This window comes from Homo sapiens, chromosome 10 (genome assembly GCF_000001405.40).
Source record: "Homo sapiens chromosome 10, GRCh38.p14 Primary Assembly".
Classification (NCBI taxonomy): Eukaryota; Metazoa; Chordata; class Mammalia; order Primates; family Hominidae; genus Homo; species Homo sapiens.
In genome coordinates this window covers 98,692,863-98,717,482 of record NC_000010.11, presented here as the reverse complement: position 1 = coordinate 98,717,482, position 24,620 = coordinate 98,692,863, and the positions used below count along the sequence as shown (strand labels likewise).

At 38.2% G+C, this 24,620-nt stretch overlaps 1 protein-coding gene across 14 annotated transcripts in view; it reads left to right on the top strand.

The window, feature by feature from the left end:
* HPSE2 (heparanase 2 (inactive)) overlaps positions 1-24,620 on the top strand; it is an 858,875-nt gene that overhangs the window by 598,469 nt on the left and 235,786 nt on the right. For 13 of the 14 annotated variants that reach the window (XM_047425614.1, NM_001166245.1, XM_011540030.2 and 10 more), the window contains one exon: positions 23,536-23,583. In XM_047425614.1, the coding sequence (XP_047281570.1) occupies positions 23,536-23,583 (48 nt within the window). Of the gene's footprint in view, positions 1-23,535; positions 23,588-24,620 lie in introns of all 14 variants that reach the window. The other variant, XM_047425615.1, reaches the window with a different exon arrangement.

Below are 24,620 nucleotides of genomic sequence, written 5' to 3'. Positions count from 1 at the left end.
TTTAAGGCAGAAGCTCAATACGATTAAGCTTAATGAGGAAGGCATGTTGAAAGCCATGACAGGCTGAATGCTAGGCTTCTTGTGCCAAACAGTTAGCCAAGGTGTGAATGTAAAGGTAAAGTTCTTGAAGGAAATTAAAAGTGCTACTTTAGTGAACACAAGAATGATAAGAAAGTGAAACAGCCTTATTGCAGCTATGGAGAAGGTTGTAGTGATCTAGATAGAAGATCAAACCAGCCACAATATTCCCTAAGCCAAATCCTAATCCAGGACAAGACCCTAACTCTCTTCAATTCTATAAAGGCTGAGAGAGGTGAGGAAGCTACAGAAGGAAAGTTGGAAGCTAGCAGAGGTTTGTTTATGAAGTTTAAGGAAATAAACTATATCCATAACATAAAAAGTACAAGGGAAAGCAGCCAGTGCTCTACAGAAGATGCAACTTAGATAATTAATGAAAGTGACTAAACAACCGATTTTCAATATGGATGAGACATCCTTCTCTTGGAAATCTGAAACTCTGAAAATCGTAGGGTCTCTATGAATTATGTTAAATCTGCTCCACCTGTACTCTATAAATGGAACAATACAGCCTGGATAACAGCATATCTGTTTACAGCATGGTTTACTGAATAGTTTACACCCACTACTGAGACCTACTGCTCAGGAAAAAAAGATTCCTTTCAAAATATTACTGCTCATTGACAATGTGCCTGGTCACCCAAGAGCTCTGATGGAAATGTACAAAAGAAATTAATTTTTTAAGCCTGCTAACTCACCCTCCATTCTGCAGCCTAGAGATCAAGGAGTCATGTTGACTTTCAAGTCTTATTATTTAAGAAATACATTATTTGAGAAGTACATTTTATAAGGCCATAGCTGCCATAGATAGTGATTCTTTCTCTGATGGATCTGGGCAAGGTTAACTGAAAACCTTCTGGAAAAGACTCACCATTCCAGATGCCATTATGAACATTTGTGATTCATGGGAAAAGGTTGAAATAGCATTATTTTTTTAAATTTATTTATTTATTTATTTATTTTTTATTATTATACTTTAAGTTTTAGGGTACCTGTGCACATTGTGCAGGTTAGTTACATACGTATACATGTGCCATGCTGGTGTGCTGCACCTAATGCTAGATGAAATAGCATTATTAACAGGAGTTTGGAAGAAGTGGACTCTAGCCCTTGTGGATGACTTTGAGGGATTCAAGACTTCAGTGGAGTAAGTAACTGCAGATGTAGTGGGCATAGCAAGAAGACTGGAATTAGAAGTGTAGCCTGAAAATGTGACTCGATTGTTGCAATCTCATGATAGAATGTGAATGGATGATGAGTTGCTCATAAATGAGCAAATAAAAAGGTTTCTTGAGATGGAATCTACTCCTGATGAAGATTCTCTGAACAGTGTTGAAATGATACAAAAGGATTTAGAATATTACATAAACTTAGTTGATAAAACAGTGGCAGAGTTTGACAGGATTGACTCCAATTTTGAAAGAGTTTCTACTGTGGGTATAATGCCATCAAACAGCATTGAATGCTACAGAGAAGTCTTCCATGAAAGGAAGAATCACTTAATGTGGCAAACATCCCTGTTGTTTTATTTTAAGAAATTGCCACAGCCATCCCAGCCTTCTAGTAATCACCACCTTGATCAGTCAGCACCATCCATATCAAGGCAAGACCCTCTATCAGCAAAAAGATTATGACTCACTGAAGGCTCAGATGATCGTTATCATTTTTAGCAATAAAGTATTTTGAATTAAGGTATATACATTGTTCTTTTAGACATAATGCTGTTGCATACTTAATAGACTATGGTATAGTGTAAACATAACTCTTATATGTACTGAGAAACCAAATAATTTGTGTGACTCTCTTTATTGTAATATTCACTTTATTGCAGTGGTCTGGAACTGAACCTGCAATACCTCTGTGGTATGCCTGTAGAGAGCCAAAGATCACAAGACACAAAAAAGAAATCAGTAGCATGAAAGAAAAAAACCAAGATAAATTAATTAAACAATTGACCCAAGAAGAATTATAATTCAAGATCCAGTGCTTTAAAAATAAAAATCTGTAATTGGTATCCTTATAATGATATAGAAATATATGGTATTTATGGAGTAAAAGCAATTTCCATGAAAAAGCTATGAATCAGTACAAAAAGATCATTTTGAAAGTAAATATATTCTTGCTGAAATTTTCTAATAAAGTTTAAGGAGTGATTTCTTAGATACAACACTAAAGGCAAATGTGATAAAATATATCAATGATAAATTGGACTTTACCAAAACTAAGAACTTTTGTGTGTCGAATGACACCATCAAGAATGTGAACAGATAACATGCAGAATAGGAGAAAATATTTGCAAGTCATATATCTGATAAGAGAATGGTATCCAGAATATATTTAAAGAATTCTTACAACTCAACAATGAAAAGACAAATTACCTAACTAAAATATGGACAGAAAGGATATGAGTGGACATATTTACCAAGTTATACAAATGGCCAATAAGCACGTGAATAGATACTTAACATTGTTAGTTGTTAGGGAAATGCTAATCAAAACCACAGCGAGATACCACCTCACATCCACTAAAATAGCTATAATCAAAAAGATTATATACAATAACAAGTACTGGAGAGGATGTAGAAAAATTGCAACCCGTATACAATGCTAATGGGAATATAATATGGTTCAGCTGCTTTGGAAAACAGTCTGGCAATTACTTAAAATGTTAAATGTAATTAACATAAGGCTAAGCACTTCCTAAGAGAAATAAAAACATATATCCACACAAAAACTTGTACGCAAATATTCATAGCAGCAGTATTCATAATAGCTAAAAAATAGAAACAAAGGTTCATCACTTGATTAATAGGGAAAATGTGGTATATCCATACAATTAAATATTATTAGACAATGAAAAGAAATGAAGCACCAATACATGTTATAACATGGATAAACCTTAAAAATATTATGGTCACTGAAGGAAGCCAGTCACAAAAGGCCATACATTGTATGGTTCCTTTTATATTAAATGTCACAAATCAATAGAAACAAAACATAGTTTAGTAGTTGCTTAGGGCTGGTGAAGATTTTGGGGAAATGAAGAGTGTCTGTAATGGATACAGGGTTTCTTTTTGGAATGATGAAATATTCTAGAATTAGATTGTTAATGGTTGCACAACACTTACAATATAATAAAAACTACTGAATTGAACACTTCTCTGAGTGAATTGTATGATATGTAAATTATATTTCCAAAAAGCGTTTAAGAGTCTAATAAAATATTTAGAAGATAAAAGATAAAGCTCCTATACACCAAGCTTTATACAGAGACAGAGAAATATTATTGATATAGAGAATCAATTAAGGATATCCAACAGCTGGCTTATAGGACAGCCAGATCCCAAAACAAGAAAGAGAACTATAGTTACAGAAAGAATGAAAACTTTGCCAACCTTGGCAATATAAAAGTAAAGGGACAGTTGATAGAAATAGAAGGTAGAAATGGAGAGAAGAAATACCATATGTGAGGGGTGATATCCTTACATAATATATGATGATTCAGAAAATATTGTCTAAACTATTAGAATAATAAATGGAGAGGTAAAGGAGAAGGGACCCAGTAAACCAAGCACATGGAATTTGCTTGACTCTTGGTTAGAATGACTTATGGCAGCACTTTCTTAAGTATGCTCTGGAGAATATCACTTCTACAGGATATTAACATTATGTGGAGGAAAAAAAAATAAAACATTCCATGGTCAAGTAAGCTTGAGAAATGCTGGGATCCACACATTTACTGAAACACTTACCTGTGCTTTTAATATATTAGTTTACATTCGGAATCTCCAAGAAGGGGATTTAGCATGCAGAATTTTCTGAATTTTTTTGACCACAGCATCTTACTTTCAGAGACCATCTTGAGGGATTAATGTTCCACTAACATGTTTGGATCACATTGACTTCGAATATGCACTCTGGTTTCGGTGGGTGATGGCAGTAAAGGAAACGTTAAAAAAAAGAATTACAATTTGGAGGATTCAGAGAACCTGGATTGCCTCAGTACCCTCATTACTACTCTGCTTGCGTGCATCTTGTTCCCCTCCTATCTGTTCACTCAGTTGCCAGAAGAATCATTTACAAACCTAGTTCATATGATGTCAGTCACTTGCTAAAGATGCTTTAATGACTTTTCATTTCTCTTAGAATAAAATGTAATCTCTTGACCATGGCCTGCAGGGCTTTACAATGAATGAGCTGACCTCTATCCAGATCTTCATTTTTATCTTCTACCACATTCTCTTTTTCTTACCTCACTCAGTCCTCATGGGCCTGGTTATGTGCTAAGCTAGTACCATGCTAGAGCAGTCTCCTCCCCACATGACTGGTTTCTTCTCATCCATCAGAGTGCTTTCTTGAGTCATCTAGCGAAGTAATTCTCTATCTAAACTAACAGGCTATAGATAGTTATACTTTCTAACTATATATTTATTGTTTGTTTGCTTGTCCTTTATAGATTATAAATTCCATAAGGGCAAGAAGTATGTTGTATTTACTATTGTATATGCAGTGCTAGCAACAAGCCTGGTACATAATAGGTACTCCAGTTTGTTGAATGAGTGAAGAATGAAGAATGGAAGTTAATCCAACATTCTACAGAATTGCTAGTGGAATATTCTAACCTGAACCTGTGTTAGAATAGAAAGCTAGACAGTTTTCTGCTCCTATCGTGGCTCAGAGAGCTATGGGAAGCATTTAAAGTTGAGCAAAGGAGATAGAAGCAGGACAAAACTAGGAAGCAAATAATGGTCTTTGCCACCACGGCAGACCACATGATATATGCTATATGTTCAATAAAGCACAAATAGAAAAATTGCCATTTTATATCCAGATTTCTGTCTTTAGTTGTGTCTAATCAACAACACTTCTACTAAGTGCCTAATCCTGATTTATCGATTCCATCTTTTCCTCAAAGCATGGGTAGGTATGAAAGCTGTATAAGTGGATGAGGATGGAAATTTTACTGTATTCCTATACACAGACTTCCATTGTGACTTTTATGGGCCCAAGGCACTTTTGACTTCATGAGTCCCTTCCTTAAAGACATATTAAAAATTATATTTACACTCCATTGGTATAAAGACATATAACAATTTTTTTCAACCTTAAACTTGTTTTTTTTTTCTTCTAATTTTAACAACAACAACAAAAATACTGTCATTATAATGGAGGATGTTTCTCTCTGTCTCTAATACCAGAGAAGTCAGTCTGTCGAACATTGGAGATGGAGGCTGGAGTCCTGAAACATAGACTTCGATTTGACACTTTACTAGTCAGATGGTCTTGAGAAATATTCTTCCTCACTTTCTTATTTTCCAGTTTTTCCTCTGTTCCCTCTTCTTTCCCTCACAACCCTGCTTTCCCCTCCAAGAATGCTCTCCCCTTATAGGTGCTGCTAAGATCAGAATTTGTCAGAAGTATAGTCCATGGTCCTCCTGCATTAGAAGCACCTAGAGGGATTGCTATGCATGCAGCATGATTCTTAGGCTCCAGCTCAGACCTCCTGAAGCAGATGTGTGGGGATGTGAGCCAGATATTGGCATTTTGAATAAAGACCTCAAATAATTCTTTACACACTAATGTATGAGAACCACTACCCTGTAATATAGGCAAAGCAAGTTTTATTATCTTTATTTTAAAGATCAAAGAATGTAGGTGCACAAATATTAAATGATTTACAAAGCTCAAAAACCAGAACCAAGAAGAGGAAACTGACATTTATTGAGTGCCAACAGTGTACCAGACACTACCTTTGTTTCTCGTTTTCTTGTTAATTCTCACAACACTTTTGGGAAATAGGTTCTGTTCTTTCCATATGACATGGATCAAGGAAGTTAAACAACTTACCCAAGGTCACATGGCTAATGAACTGTGGAGCCAGGTCACAAATCAGATAAGTGTCTGACTCTGGGGCCCATGCTCTTGCTATTCAGTGATGCTATTTTTCTGAATCTTCATATTTCAATTAAGCTAAATAGTCTAGCATACAAAATAAAATACAGTTCTTCTCAACCTCAGTTCCTCAATGTTCACACTTACAGTCAGGTTTATAGCAGGGCTTGAGCTCCAAAAGAAAAAGTTTGCTTTTTCATGTGAAATAAATAACAAAATCCTGATGCATTTTTCCTCCTTCTCACCAGGCTCTACAGCCAGGTCAAATCATTTCAGGTTATTAGAGCCTTCTTTGCTTGAATCCAAGTCTTTACAACTTCCTCAGCAGCATTTTGGACTGTCAAGGGGTGTGTATCATGATCTTCTAACCAGCACCTTCCAGCTCCAGCCAGAGCCTTCCAGATCTCTTTCATCATCTTTTCTCATCATCCCCCATTTCCCTGTCTTTTTCTTCTTTCCAATCAAGCAAATCTATTTGGTCTTCCTATATGTGTTATTCTCTCACATCTGCCTCTATCTTGTTCCAGACATTGTCCTATAGCCTCCCATCTCTCAACCCTTCACTGGCAGCAAATAGGCTTCATCTTGGGTGCCAGTTTTAGTAAACAGGGCCTGGCACTCTATCTTGAGAAAAAATCTTAGGCCAATTGTGAGATAAATGAGGGAGTATTGAGCTCTCTTACTATAGGCTCAGCAAAAAGGAACAATACCACATGTGGTACAAATTTGCCAACTCTGCATGGTTATAACAAGGGCTTTAGAATCAGAATTGGGTTTGAATCCCAGCTCTGCAATTAACTGCCTGTGTGATCTTGAGCACAGTTTCTTATCTAGAAAATGAGATTAATAATACCAACCTTACAGAGTTGTAAAATAGATAATCTGCTTACCAAATGCCTGTCAGTCGGCAAATGGTAATTAACTTATTTTTTCCTTTCTTCATTCAGGATTCTCCTTAAATTAAACTGCAAGGAAGTAACTTTTATCAACAAGATGGATTGGTCAAAGAGTCTCACCCATCTTAATTCCTGTATATTTAAGCCTCTATAAACCTATCAAACTAAGGGAAACATAAGCTCCAAGGGAAGCCTAAATAGAGATCTGCACTAGCCATTAAAGTCGACAAACATATAACTATATACTTTTTATTGGTCCACTGCCAATGTGATATTATTAATATACATAAATAGGGATGGGGAGAGGAGAGGCAAGGAGTGAGTAAAGGAGAAAGAAATGGAGGACTGAAGGTGAGGGAGAGAAGGAGAAAGGGAGAAAGAGAGAGAGAGGTCAATATTTCATTTCTTCTATGTAGCACCCAGTCTAGCTCGACATATAATTAACCATGAAAAAGTAAGTGGCTTTGGACCAAATGAAAGATGCCCCAAAATGTTGTTTATCTAGAGTTCAGCCTGGTTTACTATAACTCAGGATGAATTATTTTCTCACAAGCTTTCCCTAGGCTTTTGTGTAGAACGGCTGTCACATCTTATTTGTGTTAGTTAGCATAACCAAAGATTCTCTTTGTGGACAGGAAAGATCAGGCTACTATGCTCTTATTAAAGTATGTACTCAGTTAGATATCCAGTTCCTGGTGAAGGATTTATCCCCTTTCCTGGGAGCAAAATTCAGAAATCAGATTTTAGGGTTGCAATCTGTGATCCAGAAGTAGAAATCAAACCCCAAAGACCATGAGTAAAGATGGGCCTTATTATAATAGAGAGCTGTGATATGCCCTGGGAGAGAAGGCTCAACAATATTTCAGATACATCATATGTGCAGGTGGATAACAAAGGAAAGAAATTCTCCTAGATTTGGAGTCCCCTGTTGGGTGGGGGTAGGAACTCTCACAATGAAAGGAGATATTTTGTTATTTTCTATAGTAGCAGAATGGCCCTGATGGGAAGGCCCCCAAATACCGAAATGTCTGCCTGGCACTGGCCAATTTCATTAGATACAGGCCCTGTCCTCTTCCCTCTCTTACACTTTTCTGTGTGACTGAAGATCAGCATGAGGGCAAAGACCCCTTGTCCTCTGAGATCATAGTCCAGATTTCTGTCACCATAATTCAGCTATGGAAACATCCAACCTTGGAAAACCAAGATCTTCCACTCTTGTCAGTATTCACAGCCTGAGTCATCATTAACTTGTACCTTCATAGACCTAAATCTAGGGATTAGAATGGAAGTGAATGGTAGAAAGTCCTTGGATAATACCAGACCCTAAACAGAATTTCACTCTCCCAGTGGAATTTCACTCCTGACAGCACTATTCCGTGTGCATGTTATTCCACCTCTAATATTACTGTTGCTGAGCATTTTGCAGCTGTGTTGAAGTTGTTCATTTATGTGGTTTGGGCCAGTTTCCGAGAAACAGGCAGAACTAGAGAGCAGAACAATCTATCAATGTTAGATTTGAACAAAGAAAATAATGATCTTTTTGGAATTGTCCTCCACAGTGTCAATACAGATATAAAAATGGAGTATAGGAATGGTATAGATTTCTGCATATAAGATATAGAAAGCCTAACGTTCAGGGAAGGTTCATGGGGGCAGGGAGAATACTCCAAACTCATTGACTGTAATAGCTGTTCTTTGGAATTGTATCTAATTATTTTTCTTCATGAGTTATTTCTGTGGTTGGCTTTCCTTTTCTAGTTTTTAAAAAATATAAATATTATTCGAAGACTTCTGGAAACAGAATAGTTGTCCTATTTTAGATGAGGTCTTTCTAAAAAGAGAAGGATGTGTTTGGTCATCTTGCTAGAATTTGGAAATGCATATTTTGTTTGACATTGTTTGCAAATTTGATTTTTTCCTCCTCAAACTAAGTGTAGAAATGCTTCCATATGGTTGAAGTTGATCTCATCATTTTGTTAGGAAGGAAAAAGGAAAAAATGTAGCTTACAGCAATTTTTACATGAGCACATACTTAATAATGGTGTTTCCTCAAAGTCAGGTAAAACAACTTTTCTACTGCTTCAATATACCACTACGGTTAAAAAATAATATAATTTGTCTAAAAATATTAAATTGGGATTGAATTTTTTTTTTTTTTTTTGAGACGTAGTCTCACTCTGTCGCCCAGGCTGGAGTGCAGTGGTGTGATCTCGGCTCACTGCAAGCTCTGCCTCCTGGGTTCAGGCCATTCTTCTGCCTCAGCCTCTCAAGTAGCTGGGACTACGGGTGCCCACCACCACGCCCAGCTAATTTTTTGTATTTTTAGTAGAGACAGGGTTTCACATTGTTAGTGAGGATAGTCTTGATCTCCTGACCTCGTGATCCGCCCACCTCAGCCTCCCAAAGTACTGGGATTACAGGCGTGAGCCACCGTGCCCGGCCTGAAATTTTTTAAATATAATGAAACTAAACTACATTTTAATATTTTGATTTCTTATACAGAATATTAGGTGAGGATCTGTGACTTTAATTTTTTTCCCAAGTAGACAACAAATCACATAGCACATTTCAAAATGCTTCAGTTTTTCACATACTGAATTCCTTTTTATGTAATAAATTCTTATATAGTTTTTTAAATTTTATTCCATAGATCTCCTTACTAAATCTTGAATGTTTTAATCATTACAAATTTCATGATAATATATGGTAGATCCAATAAATGCCCCTTCATTATTCCAGTTTTTCAAAATTTTCTTGGCTTCTTCCAGATGAATGTTAGAATGGTTTTGTAAAGCTTGAAAAATATCTGCTGGGACTTTTTATTCGAATTTCATTAAGCCTATAAATTGGTTTAAGAAGAATAATTGATTTTCCTCTGTAGGATCATGGTAGCTCTTTTCCTATATCTGATTTTAAACTATTTTTCTGTAAACTATATACTATTCTACTTATGGGCTCAGGATATTTCCTATTTAATTATAGATATTATGGATTTTCTTTGAGATATAGGGTGCAGATGTGGAGAGAATACAATAACAGTACTTTAAATATCACTAACATTTAAATAATAGTTTTCTCATTTTTTATATAATGTTCCTTTAGTTAATAGAACATTATATGAGGACTTAATTCTCACATATAGCAGAGAAAACTATTCAGTGCATATGAGGATCTCCTGATTATAGTGTCATGAAGGACCAGTTTCCAATTTTCAACATGCCAAATTAGAAATGTTCTGAATTGCCTGTCCAGAGACTTTTAGCCAAGTAGGGCATTAATGATTTATTTGGTCTTAATTTTCTTATGAATATAGGGCTGTTAATATCAATGACTAGTACTTCAAGTTATTTGAGGCATATTCAGAAGGACTGGAATATATTTACCAGCAGTGGCATTGAAAGTCCTCTCCTGGGTCTCATCTTGGATAATAGCATTCATTATTGCAATTAACATTTTGGCATTCCCTTCTTTCTCTTGAGCACACCAACAGTGTTTCTAAAGTGGGCCTTTTTTTTTTCATTCCTACATTTCAAAGCCTCCCATGTCTCTGTAGTAATCTCTTGCCAGCTTATCTTCACCAGTATCTTTCATTTCAGTGTTTAGCCAGATCCTGAAATGCAAATCTGATCCTGAGAATCCCTTGTGTGTGTTTAAAGATGGAATAAATTCAACAAACATACGTGGAAGACGAGCTGGCTATATTTTACAATATTATGTTGGGTGCTAATCATACAAAGGTAAATAGGACCTGGACTTGTACCTTGTTGTTAAGGGTAAAGGCCAGACTTATAAAGGCAACACAGGGTAGCTCCTAGTGATCTGACCAACCTGACCTCCTGCCATTCCCTTACTTGTTCCCTGACATCTAGCCATACTGGACTTCTGTGAACAGCTCATTTTGACTCTTCCTTGTTTTGCTCATGCTGTTCTTTGCCTGGGCTGCTCCTCCTGGCAAAATCCTACCCTTCTTTCAATCTCATATTCAACATTGTAGACAATATGAAGGTTTTCTTAATCTGTATTCCTTCTGACACCATAAGGCAGACCTAACTGCTCCTCTTACTGAGGTCCTCTTACTGTACTACTGGTACAAACTAATAATCTGTTACAGCACACAGAAATTTTGGTATGTCCTTGTCCACATTTCTGTCTCCTGGGCTTCATTGTGGTTGTCTTGTAGCAGAGGCCCTGAGCCAGTCGTCTTCTGATACCTGCATCCAGCACATTGTCTTACAATAAGCATTGAAGGGCTCAAGTCTGTGAGAGGAAGCTAACAAGCAAAGAAGGTGCTCCAGCTTTTTCCTTTTTCTAATCAATATGGTAGCGTTTTCTCCAAGCAAAAATTCAGCTAATTTTTTGTATCTTAGAGTTTACTATACTTCCTAGCCTCAGTGAAAACAGCTTGGAGGCAGCATAAGATACTGGAAAGATGGTCGGATTTGGAATCAGAACCTGAGTTTAGCCTGCACTAACTACATGAATTTGAGCAAGTCTCATAATCTCACAACTCCTCCACTGAAATACAGAAATATCTACCTTACTGGATTGTTTTGAGGACTATGGGAAGCTATACATATAAGAAACTGAAAAGCATTTTATGACAAAGCTCTATTAATGTCAGTATTGTTTTCATTATGGTTATTTGTATATGATTATAAAACAGTTTCACATAAAATATTTCTTTTGTTTTGAATTTTACTTTAAGTTCCAGGATACAAGTGCAGGACATGTAGGTTTGTTACATAGGTCTACATGTGTCATGGTGGCATCCTGCACCTATCAAACCCGTCATCTAGGTTTTAAGCCCGGCATGCATTAGCTATTTATGCTAATGCTCTCCCTCTCCTCGCTCCCCCACCCCGCGACTGGACCCAGTGTGTGTTGCTCCCCTCCCTGTGTCCATGTGTTCTCATTGTTCAGCTCCCACTTATGAGTGAGAACATGCAGTGTTTGGTTTTCTGTTCCTGTGTTAGTTTGCTGAGGATAATGGCTTCCGGCTTCAACCATGTCACTGCAAAGGACATGATTTCATTCCTTTTAAGGCTGCGTATTATTCCATGGTGTGTCTGTACCACATTTTCTTTATTTAGTCTATCATTAAAGGGCATTTGGGTTGGTTCCATGTCTTTGCTATTGTAAATAGTGCTACAATAAACATACATGTGCATATGTCTTCATAGTAGAATTATTTATATTCCTTTGGGTGCGTACCCAGTAATGGGATGGCTAGGTCAAATGGTATTTCTGGTTCTAGATCCTTGAGGAATTGCCACGCCATCTTCCACAATGGTTGAACTAATTTACTTTCCCACCAACAGTGTAAAAGCATTCCTATTTCTCCGCAGCTTCGCCAGCATCTATTGTTTCTTGACTTTTGAAATAACTGCCATTCTGACTGATGTGAGATGGTATCTCATTGTGGTTTTGATTTGCATTTCTCTAATGATCAATGCTGTTGAGCTTTTTTTCATATATTTGTTCACCACATTAATATCTTCTTTTGAGAAGTGTCTGTTCATATCCTTTGCCCAGTTTTTATGGGGTTGTTTTTTTCTTGTAAATTTGTTTAAGTTCCTTGTAGATTCTGGATATTAGACCTTTGTTAGATGGGCAGATTGCAAAACTTTTCTCCCATTCTGTATGTTGCCTATTTACTCTGATTGTAGTTTCTTTTGCTGGGCAGAAGCTCTTAGTTTAATTAGATCCCATTTGTCAATTTTGTCTTTGGTTGCAGTTGCTTTTGGCATTTTCGTCATGAAGCCTTTGCCCATGCCTATGTCCTGAATGATATTGCCTAGGTTTTCTTCTAGGGTTCTTATGGTTTGGGGTTTTACATTTAAGTCTTTAATCCATCTTGAGTTAATGTTTGTATAAGGTGTAAGGAAGAGGTCAAGTTTCAGTTTTCCGCATATGGCTAGCCAGTTTTCCCAGCACAATATATTAAATAGGGAATCCTTTCTCCATTGTTTGTTTTGTCCAGTTTGTCGAAGATCAGATGATTGTAGATGTGTGGTGTTATATCTGAGGTCTCTGTTCTGTTCCATTGGTCTTTATGTCTGTTTTGGGACAAGTACCATGCTGTTTTAAATACTGTAGCCTTGTAGTATAGTTTGAAGTCAGGTAGCATGATGCCTCTAGCTTCCTTCTTTTTGCTTAGGATTGTCTTGGCTATCTGGGCTTTTTTTTTTTTGTTCCATATGAAATTTAAAGTAGTTTTTTCTAACTCTGTGAAAAATGTCAATGGTAGTTTGATGGGAATAGCATTGAATCTGTAAATTACTTTGGGCAGTGTGGCCATTTTCACGGTATTGATTCTTCCTATCCATGAGGATGGAATGTTTTTCCATTTGTTTGTGTCCTCTGATTTTCTTGAGCAGTGGTTTGTAGTTCTCCTTGAAGAGTCCTTCACATCCCTTGTTAGCTGTATCCCTAGGTATTTTATTCTCTTTGTAGCAATTGCGAATAGGAGTTCATTCATGATTTGGCTGTTTGTCTATTGGTGTATAGGAATGCTTGTGATTTTTGCACTTTGATTTTGTCTCCTGAGACTTTGCTGAAGTTGTTTATCAGCTTAAGGAGTTTTTGGGCTGAGATGATGGGGTTTTCTAAATACAGAATCATGTCTTCTGCAAACAGAGACTACTTGACTTCCTCTCTTCCTATTTGAATACTCTTTATTTCTTTCTCTTGTCTGATTGTCTGTCCAGAATTTCCAATACTATGTTGAATAGGAGTGGTGAGAGACGGCATCCTTGTCTTGGCCAGTTTTCAAAGGCAATGCTTCCAGCTTTTGCCCATTCAGTATGATATTGGCTGTAGGTTTGTCACACATAGCTCATTATTTTGAGATATGTTCCATGAATACCTATTTTATTGAGAGTTTCTAACATGAAGAGATGTTGATTTTTATCAAAGGGGTTTTCTGCATCTATTGAGATTATCATGTGATTTTTGTCAGTGGTTCTGTTTATGTGATGGATTATGTTTATTGACTTGCATATGTTGAACCAGCCCTGCATCCCAGGGATGAAGCCGACTTGATCACGGTGGATAAGTTTCTTGATGTGCTGCTGGATTTAGTTTGCCAGCATTTTATTGAGGATTTTTGCTTCGATATTGGCCTGAAGTTTTCTTTTTTTTGTTGTGTCTCTGCCAGGTTCTGGTATCAGGATGATGCTGGCCTCATAAAATGAGCTAGGGAGGAGTCCCTCCTTTTCAATTGTTTGGAATAGTTTCAGAAGGACTGGTACCAGCTCTTCTTTGTACCTCTGGTAGAATTCAGCTGTGATCTGTCTGGTCCTAGACCTTTTTTGGTTGGTAGGCTATTAATTACTGCCTAAATTTCAGTACTTGCTATTGGTTTATTCAGGGATTCAACTTCTTCCTGGTTTAGTCTTGGGAGGGTATATGTTTCCAGGAATGTATCCACTTCTAGATTTTCAAGTTTGTTTGTGTAGAGGTGTTTATAGCATTTTCTGATGGTAGTTTGTATTTCTGTGGGGTAAGTGGTGATATCTCCTTTATCATTTTTTATTGTGTCTGTTTGATTCTTCTCTCTTTTCTTCTTTATTAGTCTAGTTAGCAGTCTATCTATTTTGTTAATTTTTACTAAAAACCAGCTCCTGGATTCATTGTTTTTTTTCTTGAAGGGTTTTTCATGCATCTATCTCCTTCAATTCTGCTCTGATCTTAGTTATTTCTTCTCTTCTGCTAGCTTTTGGATTTGTTGGCTCTTGCTTCTCTAGCTCTTTTAACTGTGATGTTAGGGTGTTGATTTGACATCTTTCCAGCTTTCTGATGTTGGCATTTAGTGCTGTAAATTTCCCTCTGCTCTAGCTGTGTCCCAGAGATTCTGGTACGTTGTCTCGTCTCTGTTTTCATTGGTTTAAAAGAACTTCTTTATTTCTTCCTTAGTTTAATTATTTACTCAGGAGTCATTCAGGAGCAGGTTGTTCAAATTCCAAGTGGTTGTGTGATTTCTGAGTGAGTTTCTTAATCCTGAGTTCTAATTTGATTGCACTGTGGTCTGAGAGACTGTTATGATTTCCATTCTTTTGCATTTGCTGAGAAGTGTTTTACTTCCAATTGTGTGGTTGATTTTAGAATAAGTGCCATGTGGTTGACTTGTGGTGGAGAGTTCTGTAGATGTCTATTAGGGCCACTTGATCCAGAGCTGAGTTTAAGTCCTGAATATCCTTGTTAATTTTCTGTCTCGTTGATCTGTCTAATATTGACAGTGGGGTGTTAAAGTCTCCCACTATTATTATGTGGGAGTCTAAGTCTCTTTATAGGTCTCTAAGAACTTGTATTATGAATCTGGGTGCTTCTGTATTGGGTGCATTTATATTTAGGATAGTTGGCTCTTCTTGTTGAATCGATTCCTTTAACATTATGTAATGCCCTTCTTTGTCTTTTTTGATCTCTGTTGGTTTAAAGTCTGTTTCATTAGAGACTAGGATTGCAACCCCTGCTTTTTGTGTGAGTGTTCCATTTGCTTGGTAAATATTCCTCCATCCCTTTATTTTGAGCCTGTGTGTGTCTTTGCACATGAGATGGGCCTCCTGAATACAGCACACCAATGGGTCTTGACTCTTTATCCAATTTGACAGCCTGTGTCTTTTATTGGGGCATTTAGCCCATTTACATTTAAGGTTAATATTGTTATGTGTAAATTTGATCCTGCCATCATGATGCTATCTGGTTATTTTGCACACTTGTTGATGCAGCTTCTTCATAGTGTCATTGGTCTTTATATTTTGGTATGTTTTTGCAGTGGCTGGTACTGGTTTTTTCCTTTACATATTTAGTGCTTCCTTTAGGAGCTCTTGCAAGGCAGGCTGGTGGTGACAAAATCCCTCAGCATTTGCTTGTCTGGAAATGATTTTATTTCTCCTTCATTTATGAAGCTTAGTTTGGCTGGATTTGAAATTCTGGGTTTAAAACTATTTTCATTTTATTTTATTTTATTTTATTATTATTATACTTTAAGTTTTAGGGTACATGTGCACAATGTGCAGGTTAGTTACATATGTATACATGTGCCATGCTGGTGTGCTGCACCCATTGACTCATCATTTAGCATTAGGTATATCTCCTAAAGCTATCCCTCCCCCCTCCCCCCACCCCACAACAGTCCCCAGAGTGTGATGTTCCCCTTCCTGTGTCCATGTGTTCTCATTGTTCAGTTCCCACCTATGAGTGAGAATATTTGGTGTTTGGTTTTTTGTTCTTGCGATAGTTTACTGAGAATGATGATTTCCAATTTCATCCATGTCCCTACGAAGGACATGAACTCATCGTGTTTTATGGCTGCATAGTATTCCATGGTGTATATGTGCCACATTTTCTTAATCCAGTCTATCATTGTTGGACATTTGGGTTGGTTCCAAGTCTTTGCTATTGTGAATAGTGCCGCAGTAAACATACGTGTGCATGTGTCTTTATAGCAGCATGATTTATAGTCCTTTGGGTATATACCCAGTAATGGGATGGCTGGGTCAAATGGTATTTCTAGTTCTAGATCCCTGAGGAATCGCCACACTGACTTCCACAATGGTTGAACTAGTTGACAGTCCCACCAACAGTGTAAAAGTGTTCCTATTTCTCCACATCCTCTCCAGCACCTGTTGTTTCCGGACTTTTTAATGATCGCCATTCTAACTGGTGTGAGATGGTATCTCATTGTGGTTTTGATTTGCATTTCTCTGATGGCCAGTGATGGTGAGCATTTTTTCATGTGTTTTTTGGCTGCATGAATGTCTTGAGAAGTGTCTGTTCATGTCCTTCGCCCACTTGTTGATGGGGTTGTTTGTTTTTTTCTTGTAAATTTGTTTGAGTTCATTGTAGATTCTGGATATTAGCCCTTTGTCAGATGAGTAGGTTGCAAAAATTTTCTCCCATTTTGTAGGTTGCCTGTTCACTCTGATAGTAGTTTCTTTTGCTGTGCAGAAGCTCTTTAGTTTAATTAGATCCCATTTGTCAATTTTGGCTTTTGTTGCCATTGCTTTTGGTGTTTTAGACATGAAGTCCTTGCCCATGCCTATGTCCTGGATAGTAATGCCTAGGTTTTCTTCCAGGGTTTTTATGGTTTTAGGTCTAATGTTTAAGTCTTTAATCCATCTTGAATTAATTTTTGTATAAGGTGTAAGGAAGGGATCCAGTTTCAGCTTTCTCCATATGGCTAGCCAGTTTTCCCAGCACCATTTATTAAATAGGGAATCCTTTCCCCATTGCTTGTTTTTCTCAGGTTTGTCAAAGATCAGATAGTTGTAGATATGCGGCGTTATTTCTGAGGGCTCTGTTCTGTTCCATTGATCTATGTCTCTGTTTTGGTACCAGTACCATGCTGTTTTGGTTACTGTAGCCTTGTAGTATAGTTTGAAGTCAGGTAGCATGATGCCTCCAGCTTTATTCTTTTGGCTTAGGATTGACTTGGTGATGCAGGCTCTTTTTTGGTTCCATATGAACTTTAAAGTAGTTTTTTTCCAATTCTGTGAAGAAAGTCATTGGTAGCTTGATGGGGATGGCATTGAATCTATAAATTACCTTGGGCAGTATGGCCATTTTCATGATATCGATTCTTCCTACCCATGAGCATGGAATGTTCTTCCATTCGTTTGCATCCTCTTTTATTTCACTGAGCAGTGGTTTGTAGTTCTCCTTGAAGAGGTCCTTCACATCCCTTGTAAGTTGGATTCCTAGGTATTTTATTCTCTTTGAAGCAATTGTGAATGGGAGTTCACTGATGATTTGGCTCTCTGTTTGTCTGTTATTGGTGTATAAGAATGCTTGTGATTTTTGTACATTGATTTTGTATCCTGAGACTTTGCTGAAGTTGCTTATCAGCTTAAGGAGATTTTGGGCTGAGACAACGGGATTTTCTAGATATACAATCATGTCATCTGCAAACAGGGACAATTTGACTTCCCCTTTTCCTAATTGAATACCCTTTATTTCCTTCTCCTGCCTAATTGCCCTGGCCAGAACTTCCAACACTATGTTGAATAGGAGTGGTGAGAGAGGGCATCTCTGTCTTGTGCCAGTTTTCAAAGGGAATGCTTCCAGTTTTTGCCCATTCAGTATGATATTGGCTGTGGGTTTGTCATAGATAGCTCTTATTATTTTGAGATATGTCCCATCAATACCTAATTTATTGAGAGTTTTTAGCATGAAGGGTTGTTGAATTTTGTCAAAGGCCTTTTCTGCATCTATTGAGAAAATCATGTGGTTTTTGTCTTTGGTTCTGTTTATATGCTGGATTACATTTATTGATTTGCGTATATTGAACCAGCCTTGCATCCCAGGGATGAAGCCCACTTGATTATGGTGGATAAGCTTTTTGATGTGCTGCTGGATTCGGTTTGCCAGTATTTTATTGAGGATTTTTACATCGATGTTCATCAAGGATATTGGTCTAAAATTCTCTTTTTTTGTTGTGTCTCTGCCAGGCTTTGGTATCAGGATGATGCTGGCCTCATAAAATGAGTTAGGGAGGATTCCCTCTTTTTCTATTGATTGGAATAGTTTCAGAAGGAATGGTACCAGTTCCTCCTTGTACCTCTGGTAGAATTCGGCTGTGAATCCATCTGGTCCTGGACTCTTTTTGTTTGGTAAGCTATTGATTATTGCCACAATTTCAGAGCCTGTTATTGGTCTATTCAGAGAGTCAACTTCTTCCTGGTTTAGTCTTGGGAGGGTGTATGTGTGGAGGAATTTATCCATTTCTTCTAGATTTTCTAGTTTATTTGTGTAGAGGTGTTTGTAGTAGTCTCTGATGGTAGTTTGTATTTCTGTGGGATTGGTGGTGATATCCCCTTTATCATTTTTTATTGCATCTATTTGATTCTTCTCTCTTTTCTTCTTTATTAGTCTTGCTAGCAGTCTATCAGTTTTGTTGATCCTTTCAGAAAACCAGCTCCTGGATTCATTAATTTTTTGAAGGGTTTTTTGTGTCTCTATTTCCTTCAGTTCTGCTCTGATTTTAGTTATTTCTTGCCTTCTGCTAGCTTTTGAATGTGTTTGCTCTTGCTTTTCTAGTTCTTTTAATTGGGATGTTAGGGTGTCAATTTTGGATCTTTCCCGCTTTCTCTTGTGGGCATTTAGTGCTATAAATTTCCCTCTTCACACTGCTTTGAATGTGTCCCAGAGATTCTGGTATGTTGTGTCTTTGTTCTCGTTGGTTTCAAAGAACATCTTTATTTCTGCCTTCATTTCGTTATGTACCCAGTAGTCATTCAGGAGCAGGTTGTTCAGTTTCCATGTAATTGAGTGGTTTTGAGTGAGTTTCTTAATCCTGAGTTCTAGTTTGATTGCACTGTGGTCTGAGAGACAGTTTGTTATAATTTCTGATCTTTTACATTTGCTGAGGAGAGCTTTACTTCCAACTATGTGGTCAATTTTGGAATAGGTGTGGTGTGGTGCTGAAAAAAATGTATATTCTGTTGATTTGGGGTGGAGAGTTCTGTAGATGTCTATTAGGTCTGCTTGGTGCAGAGCTGAGTTCAATTCCTGGGTATCCTTGTTAACTTTCTGTCTCGTTGATCTGTCTAATGTTGACAGTGGGGTGTTAAAGTCTCCCATTATTATTGTGTGGGAGTCTAAGTCTCTTTGTAGGTCACTCAGGACTTGCTTTATGAATCTGGGTGCTCCTGTATTGGGTGCATATATATTTAGGATAGTTAGCTCTTCTTGTTGAATTGATCCCTTTACCATTATGTAATGGCCTTCTTTGTCTCTTTTGATCTTTGTTGGTTTAAGAATGTTGAATATTGGCCCCCACTCTCTTCTGGCTTGCAGGGTTTCTGCTGAGAGGACCACTGTTAGTCTGATTGTAGTCCCTTTGTAGGTGACCTGGCCTTTCTCTCTGGCTGCCCTTAACATTTTTTCCTTCATTTTGACCTTGAGGAATCTGATCATTACGTGTCTTGGGGTTGATCTTCTTGTAGATTATCTTAGTGCGGTTCTCTGTATTTCCTGAATTTGAATGTTGGCCTATCTTGCTAGGTTGAGGAAGTTTTTCTGGATAATATCCTGAAGTGTGTTTTCCAACTTGGTTTCATTTTCCCCGTCTCTTTCAGGTACTCCAGTCAGTCATATGTTTGGTCTTTTTACATAGTCCCATATTTCCCAGAGGGTTTGTTCATTCCTTTTCATTCTTTTTTCTCTATTCTTGTCTGCATGCCTTATTTCAGCAAGATGGTCTTCAAACTCTGATATTCTTTCTTCCACTTGGTTGATTTGGCTGTTGATGCTTGTGTATACTTCACAACGTTCTCATGCTGTGTTTTTCAGCTCCTTCAAGTTATTTATGTTCCTCTCGAAACTGCTTATGGTAGTTAGCAGCTCCTGTACCCTTTAATCAAGATTCTTAGCTTCTTTGCACTGGGTTAGAACATGCTCCTTGAGCTCAGCGGAGTTTGTTGTTACCCACCTTCTGAATGAAGCCTACTTCTGTCAATTCATCCATCGCATCCTCTGTCCAGTTCTGTGCCCTTGCTGGAGAGGCACTGTGATCATTTAGAGGAGAAGAGGCACTCTGGCCTTTTGGGTTTCCAGTGTTTTTTTTTCACTGCTTCTTTCTCATCTTCATGAGTTTGTCTACTATCAATCTTTGAGGCTGCTGACCCTTGGATGGGGTTTTTGTGGGACATTTTTTTGTTGATGCTGTTGTTTTTGCTTCTGTTTGTTTGTTTTTCTTGCAGTGGTCAGGTCCCTGTTCTATAGGGCTGCTGCGGTTCACTGGGGGTTCAGTTCAGGCCCTATTCATGGCTCCAGCAGGGGAAAAGCACAGCCTGGAGTTGTAGAGATGGCTGCCGGCCTTCCCCCACCCTGGGAGCTTAGTGTGTTAGGCAGCTATGGGTCCCAGAGTTGGCTGTCGCCCCTCCCCTAAGGAGCTCAAAGGCTTAGACAGCAGGGAGCCACAGCTGTGGTGCTGGTCACCCCTCCTCCTGGGAGGTCAGCAGGCTTAAGCAGACTCTAGCTTAGTGGCTGTTGAGAATCTACGCATTCCATGGTTGGGACCCTCGCCCCAGTGGTGTGGGCTTATAAATGGGATCTTCCAATCCATGGGTTTACACAGTTCCATGGAAAAAGCACATTTTCCCAGGCTGGGTAGCACACTCACTGACTGCCTTTCCTGACTGAGGATCGGGGCTTCCCTGCCCTGTGTGGCTCTCAGGTGGGCTGCAGCACCACACTGCTCTTCCTTCCTCTCTGTGGGTCACGCCAGCTGCCTAGTCAGTTCTGATGACAGAAACTGAATACCTTGGTTGTTGGTGCAGGATTGGCTCGCTATTATGGTTTTTTTTTTTTTTTTTTTTTTTTTTATGGGAGCCTCTGATCATCTCTGCTTCTAGTTGGCTATCTTGGCCCTGTCCCTACATAAAATATTTCTATTTCAGAGATTTTAGAAATTATTTTGGAGAAGTAAATTCCATGTAAACATTTGTTTTTACATTTCTTTCTTTGAAATGACATTTGTGTCTAAGATTGTCTAGGTTTTTTAATTTTTGGAATATCTGAGAAGGAGGTACAAAATTTCATCTCTTCCTCTTTATTCTTGGGCCATCCTACTTCTAAGATTATTATCAGATCTTCCCTGCTTAGAGTGGCATAGATGGCAGGGATAATATTTTGAATATTAATCTGTTTTCTTTCTCCTTGTATTTTTCAATTTTCCTTCTATTCATTTAAGAGCTGGTTGTGTGCCTATGACAGGATAGCACGTGACAGGAGGAAAAGGCAAATACTGCATGAGTCTTTCTGGCTTTAGAATTCCAGAAGAGGAATTTTAGAGGCATAGGGCCAGAAATAGTGAGGAGATTGGAGCTACTCTCCCAAACCCAAAAGAGATTGTCCTGGGCTGGGGAAAGGAGATGAGATAAAGAGGAAGAGAAATCCATGGGCTTCAAAAGCAGAGGATATCTGTGCCATGCTTCCCAATGACTGCTGCTAGGGGGGGTGGCATGACTCCATCAAAAATTGGCTATTTGGAGTGTTAGGAGATGTACTTCTCTAGGCAATAGGGAAGCTGGTAATCTATATAATGGAACTGACAATATCCACCTTACCAAGCAAGGCATTTTTAAGAATTATAAGAAATAACATGTGAATGGCTGGCACTCAGTAGGTACGTAGTAAATGTTACATTCCCTCCAGCCCACGTTGACATTTTGGCCCTGCCCATCAAACCAGTTCTATTCCTCGATCATTCCCATGTGTCATTTTCTACTTTCTTGCTTGAGGACTGCTGAATCGTACTGGAGAAAGAAAGGCAAAACCGTTCAGCCAAAGGCCAAGCCAGGGCTTCTGTGGCCTTCTCATCCTCCGTCCTCGTCCTCCTTCTCCTCCTCCTCCTCTTCCTTCTCTCTTTCTTCCCCCTTTCTCAGACCCATCCTGTCCTTCCCCTTCTTCTTTTCCTCTCCTTTTATAAACTTCACTTTAATGCTAACCAACAGTCCTGGCATCCAGCCCTATGTTTCTCTTATGTACTCCTCCAGAGAAACTCAATTCTCTTCTGCTGTCACAGCAAATCAGAGCCTCTGTTTAGGCAATACACAGCAACCCACACAGCATGAGCAACATGCATCTGCCTTGCAAGATTATGCTGGGGTAAAGTAGAGATAGGGCCTTCTAGACAAAACACCATCCTTCTCCCTGGAGGAAGAATTCTTCAGTTAAGAAGTACCATTAAAGATTGCTTCTCCCTCTGAAGAAAAGTTCCCCACCAGGGTGTCCGGACTGAAAGGAATGTCTTAAAGAGCTGAGATACTCCTTTTGGTTTCCTGTGCCTGGGTAATGACTCCCTCAACTAGTAGTTATAACCATGATAGCACATGGCCTCAGAACATGTGGATAGGGAGAAGGAGATAGGTAATTGAGTTATTCACAAACATGCAATTTATGAGAGACCCTGTGTCATCTTTGGGCCCCCAGATGCATCTTCTTGGCCTATTGATTTTCCTGAAGCCTCCAGAAACACAGAAGCTGGGGAACTGCTGGCAAGGCTTTGATGTGTGCTTAACTGCACGGAACCAAGTCTGGTTTACCTTTTGAGCTGAGCATGATTGTCAGATAACACTCAGTACTCTATTTAGCTGCTCCAAAAGTAGATGATAGATTTCTCTTTGTGCTGCTCAACTTTCTACACTGAGACAGATGTGGCAGCCTCTCACTGGGGCATATTTGATGGTACTTTTTACTTGTATAAATAAACTGGGTTTTCCCATGCTCGCTCTAGGAAAGCCTGAAGTTTTTCAAAGGCATCTTTTGTGCTGTCATCCTTGGGAAATATTACTGTTTGTTTCCTAGCAGAGATTGGAGTCCTTAGAGAATAGGAAATGGGACAGACAAGTTTTGGTTATGAGGAAATTGATGTGGGAGTCATCAGGCGTGGGCTTGGGAAGACAGATGTAGATAGAATGCCTTATTGGGATTTTGATTTCCAGATGGTGAGGGATGTGTGGGGAGCTGGAAGTATGGTTACTTTCACTTTCTGTATAGTTTGACCTCCAATAGCTGTGTCTAGGCCATGATTGTGGCTATGGAGGATCCTCTCAGAAAGCATACCTGCTTAAGGATTGGTCTAATCTGTCTCAGTTTATTTCCTTTTGATTTAGGGGATGTGGTTTAATCTAAGTTGTAATATCTTTTTTCTTTCTATTCCTTACAGATTCATGAAGGTGGCAGGAAGTACAGTAGATGCAGTTACCTGGCAACAGTAGGTATTCACCATTTTTGCTCTTACTTATTATCAGCTGCTGTGAAATGAAAGATAATTAGTTGTCACTAAGTTCATAACTGACATTTAATAAGCTATCCTTCATCCTCCAGGAAAAAATTTGAAAGTAACTCCAAAGTTGTTTTTATGGCACATACTGTCTCATAGTACTATAATTTTGTTTGGTTGTTTTCAGAAAAATTTAAGAAAACAACTAACGCATTTTGGAGATTTCAGCTATTATGTACCCTTTTAAATTAATCTGTCATCAGTGAACAGGTAATGGGGATCTGAGCATGCCACTGTTTTCCCATAGGCTTTTCCTTTGGGAATAAATTTCCTTGTATAAGACAGGCAATAATTTTAATTGCTCAATATATCATGGGAAAATAGAAACATTTTGTTATATTAATGTCAGTGGTCTTAATTATTGCCAAGTGAGTCTCTAAAATGAAGCAGCTTTTTTTTAAAAAAAGAGTATCAAGATGAAGCAGCTTCAAGAAAGGGAATAAACTCCAACATTGCAGGAAGAATCTTACAATGGAAAAGACCTGTTACTGCAGGATAATGAAAAATACAATTATCTGATAAATAAATTTAAATATTCTATAAGTTCCCTTAGGGCATTTGTACCAGAAGGTCCAGCCCTTAACAGTCAATGTCTCACTAATTGTATACTGGAATCCTGTTCTTCTTTTCTCTGAGAAATCTATTTCACAATATCTTCCAAATCATCTCTTGTCTAATGTGGTGCTCTCAACTCAGACTGTGCTTTTACTCAGGGCCCTCATAGGCCTTGGCAATGGCCCTCTTTCTCAATTACTCTAACCCTTCCTGCCTAGCGTATGTACTCCTTCTGTCTATCCTCTGTTTGAAGTGGGTCACACTATCCACTGTGGATTCATTACAGATGTGAAAGAAAATGAAGTGGATTAAATCTTTATTAAGATTGCTTCTCCCTCTGAAGAAAAGTTCCCCACCTAAAGTGTTTTTGTTTGCTGGCAATCAATAACTTCAATCATAATGGGAAATATTTC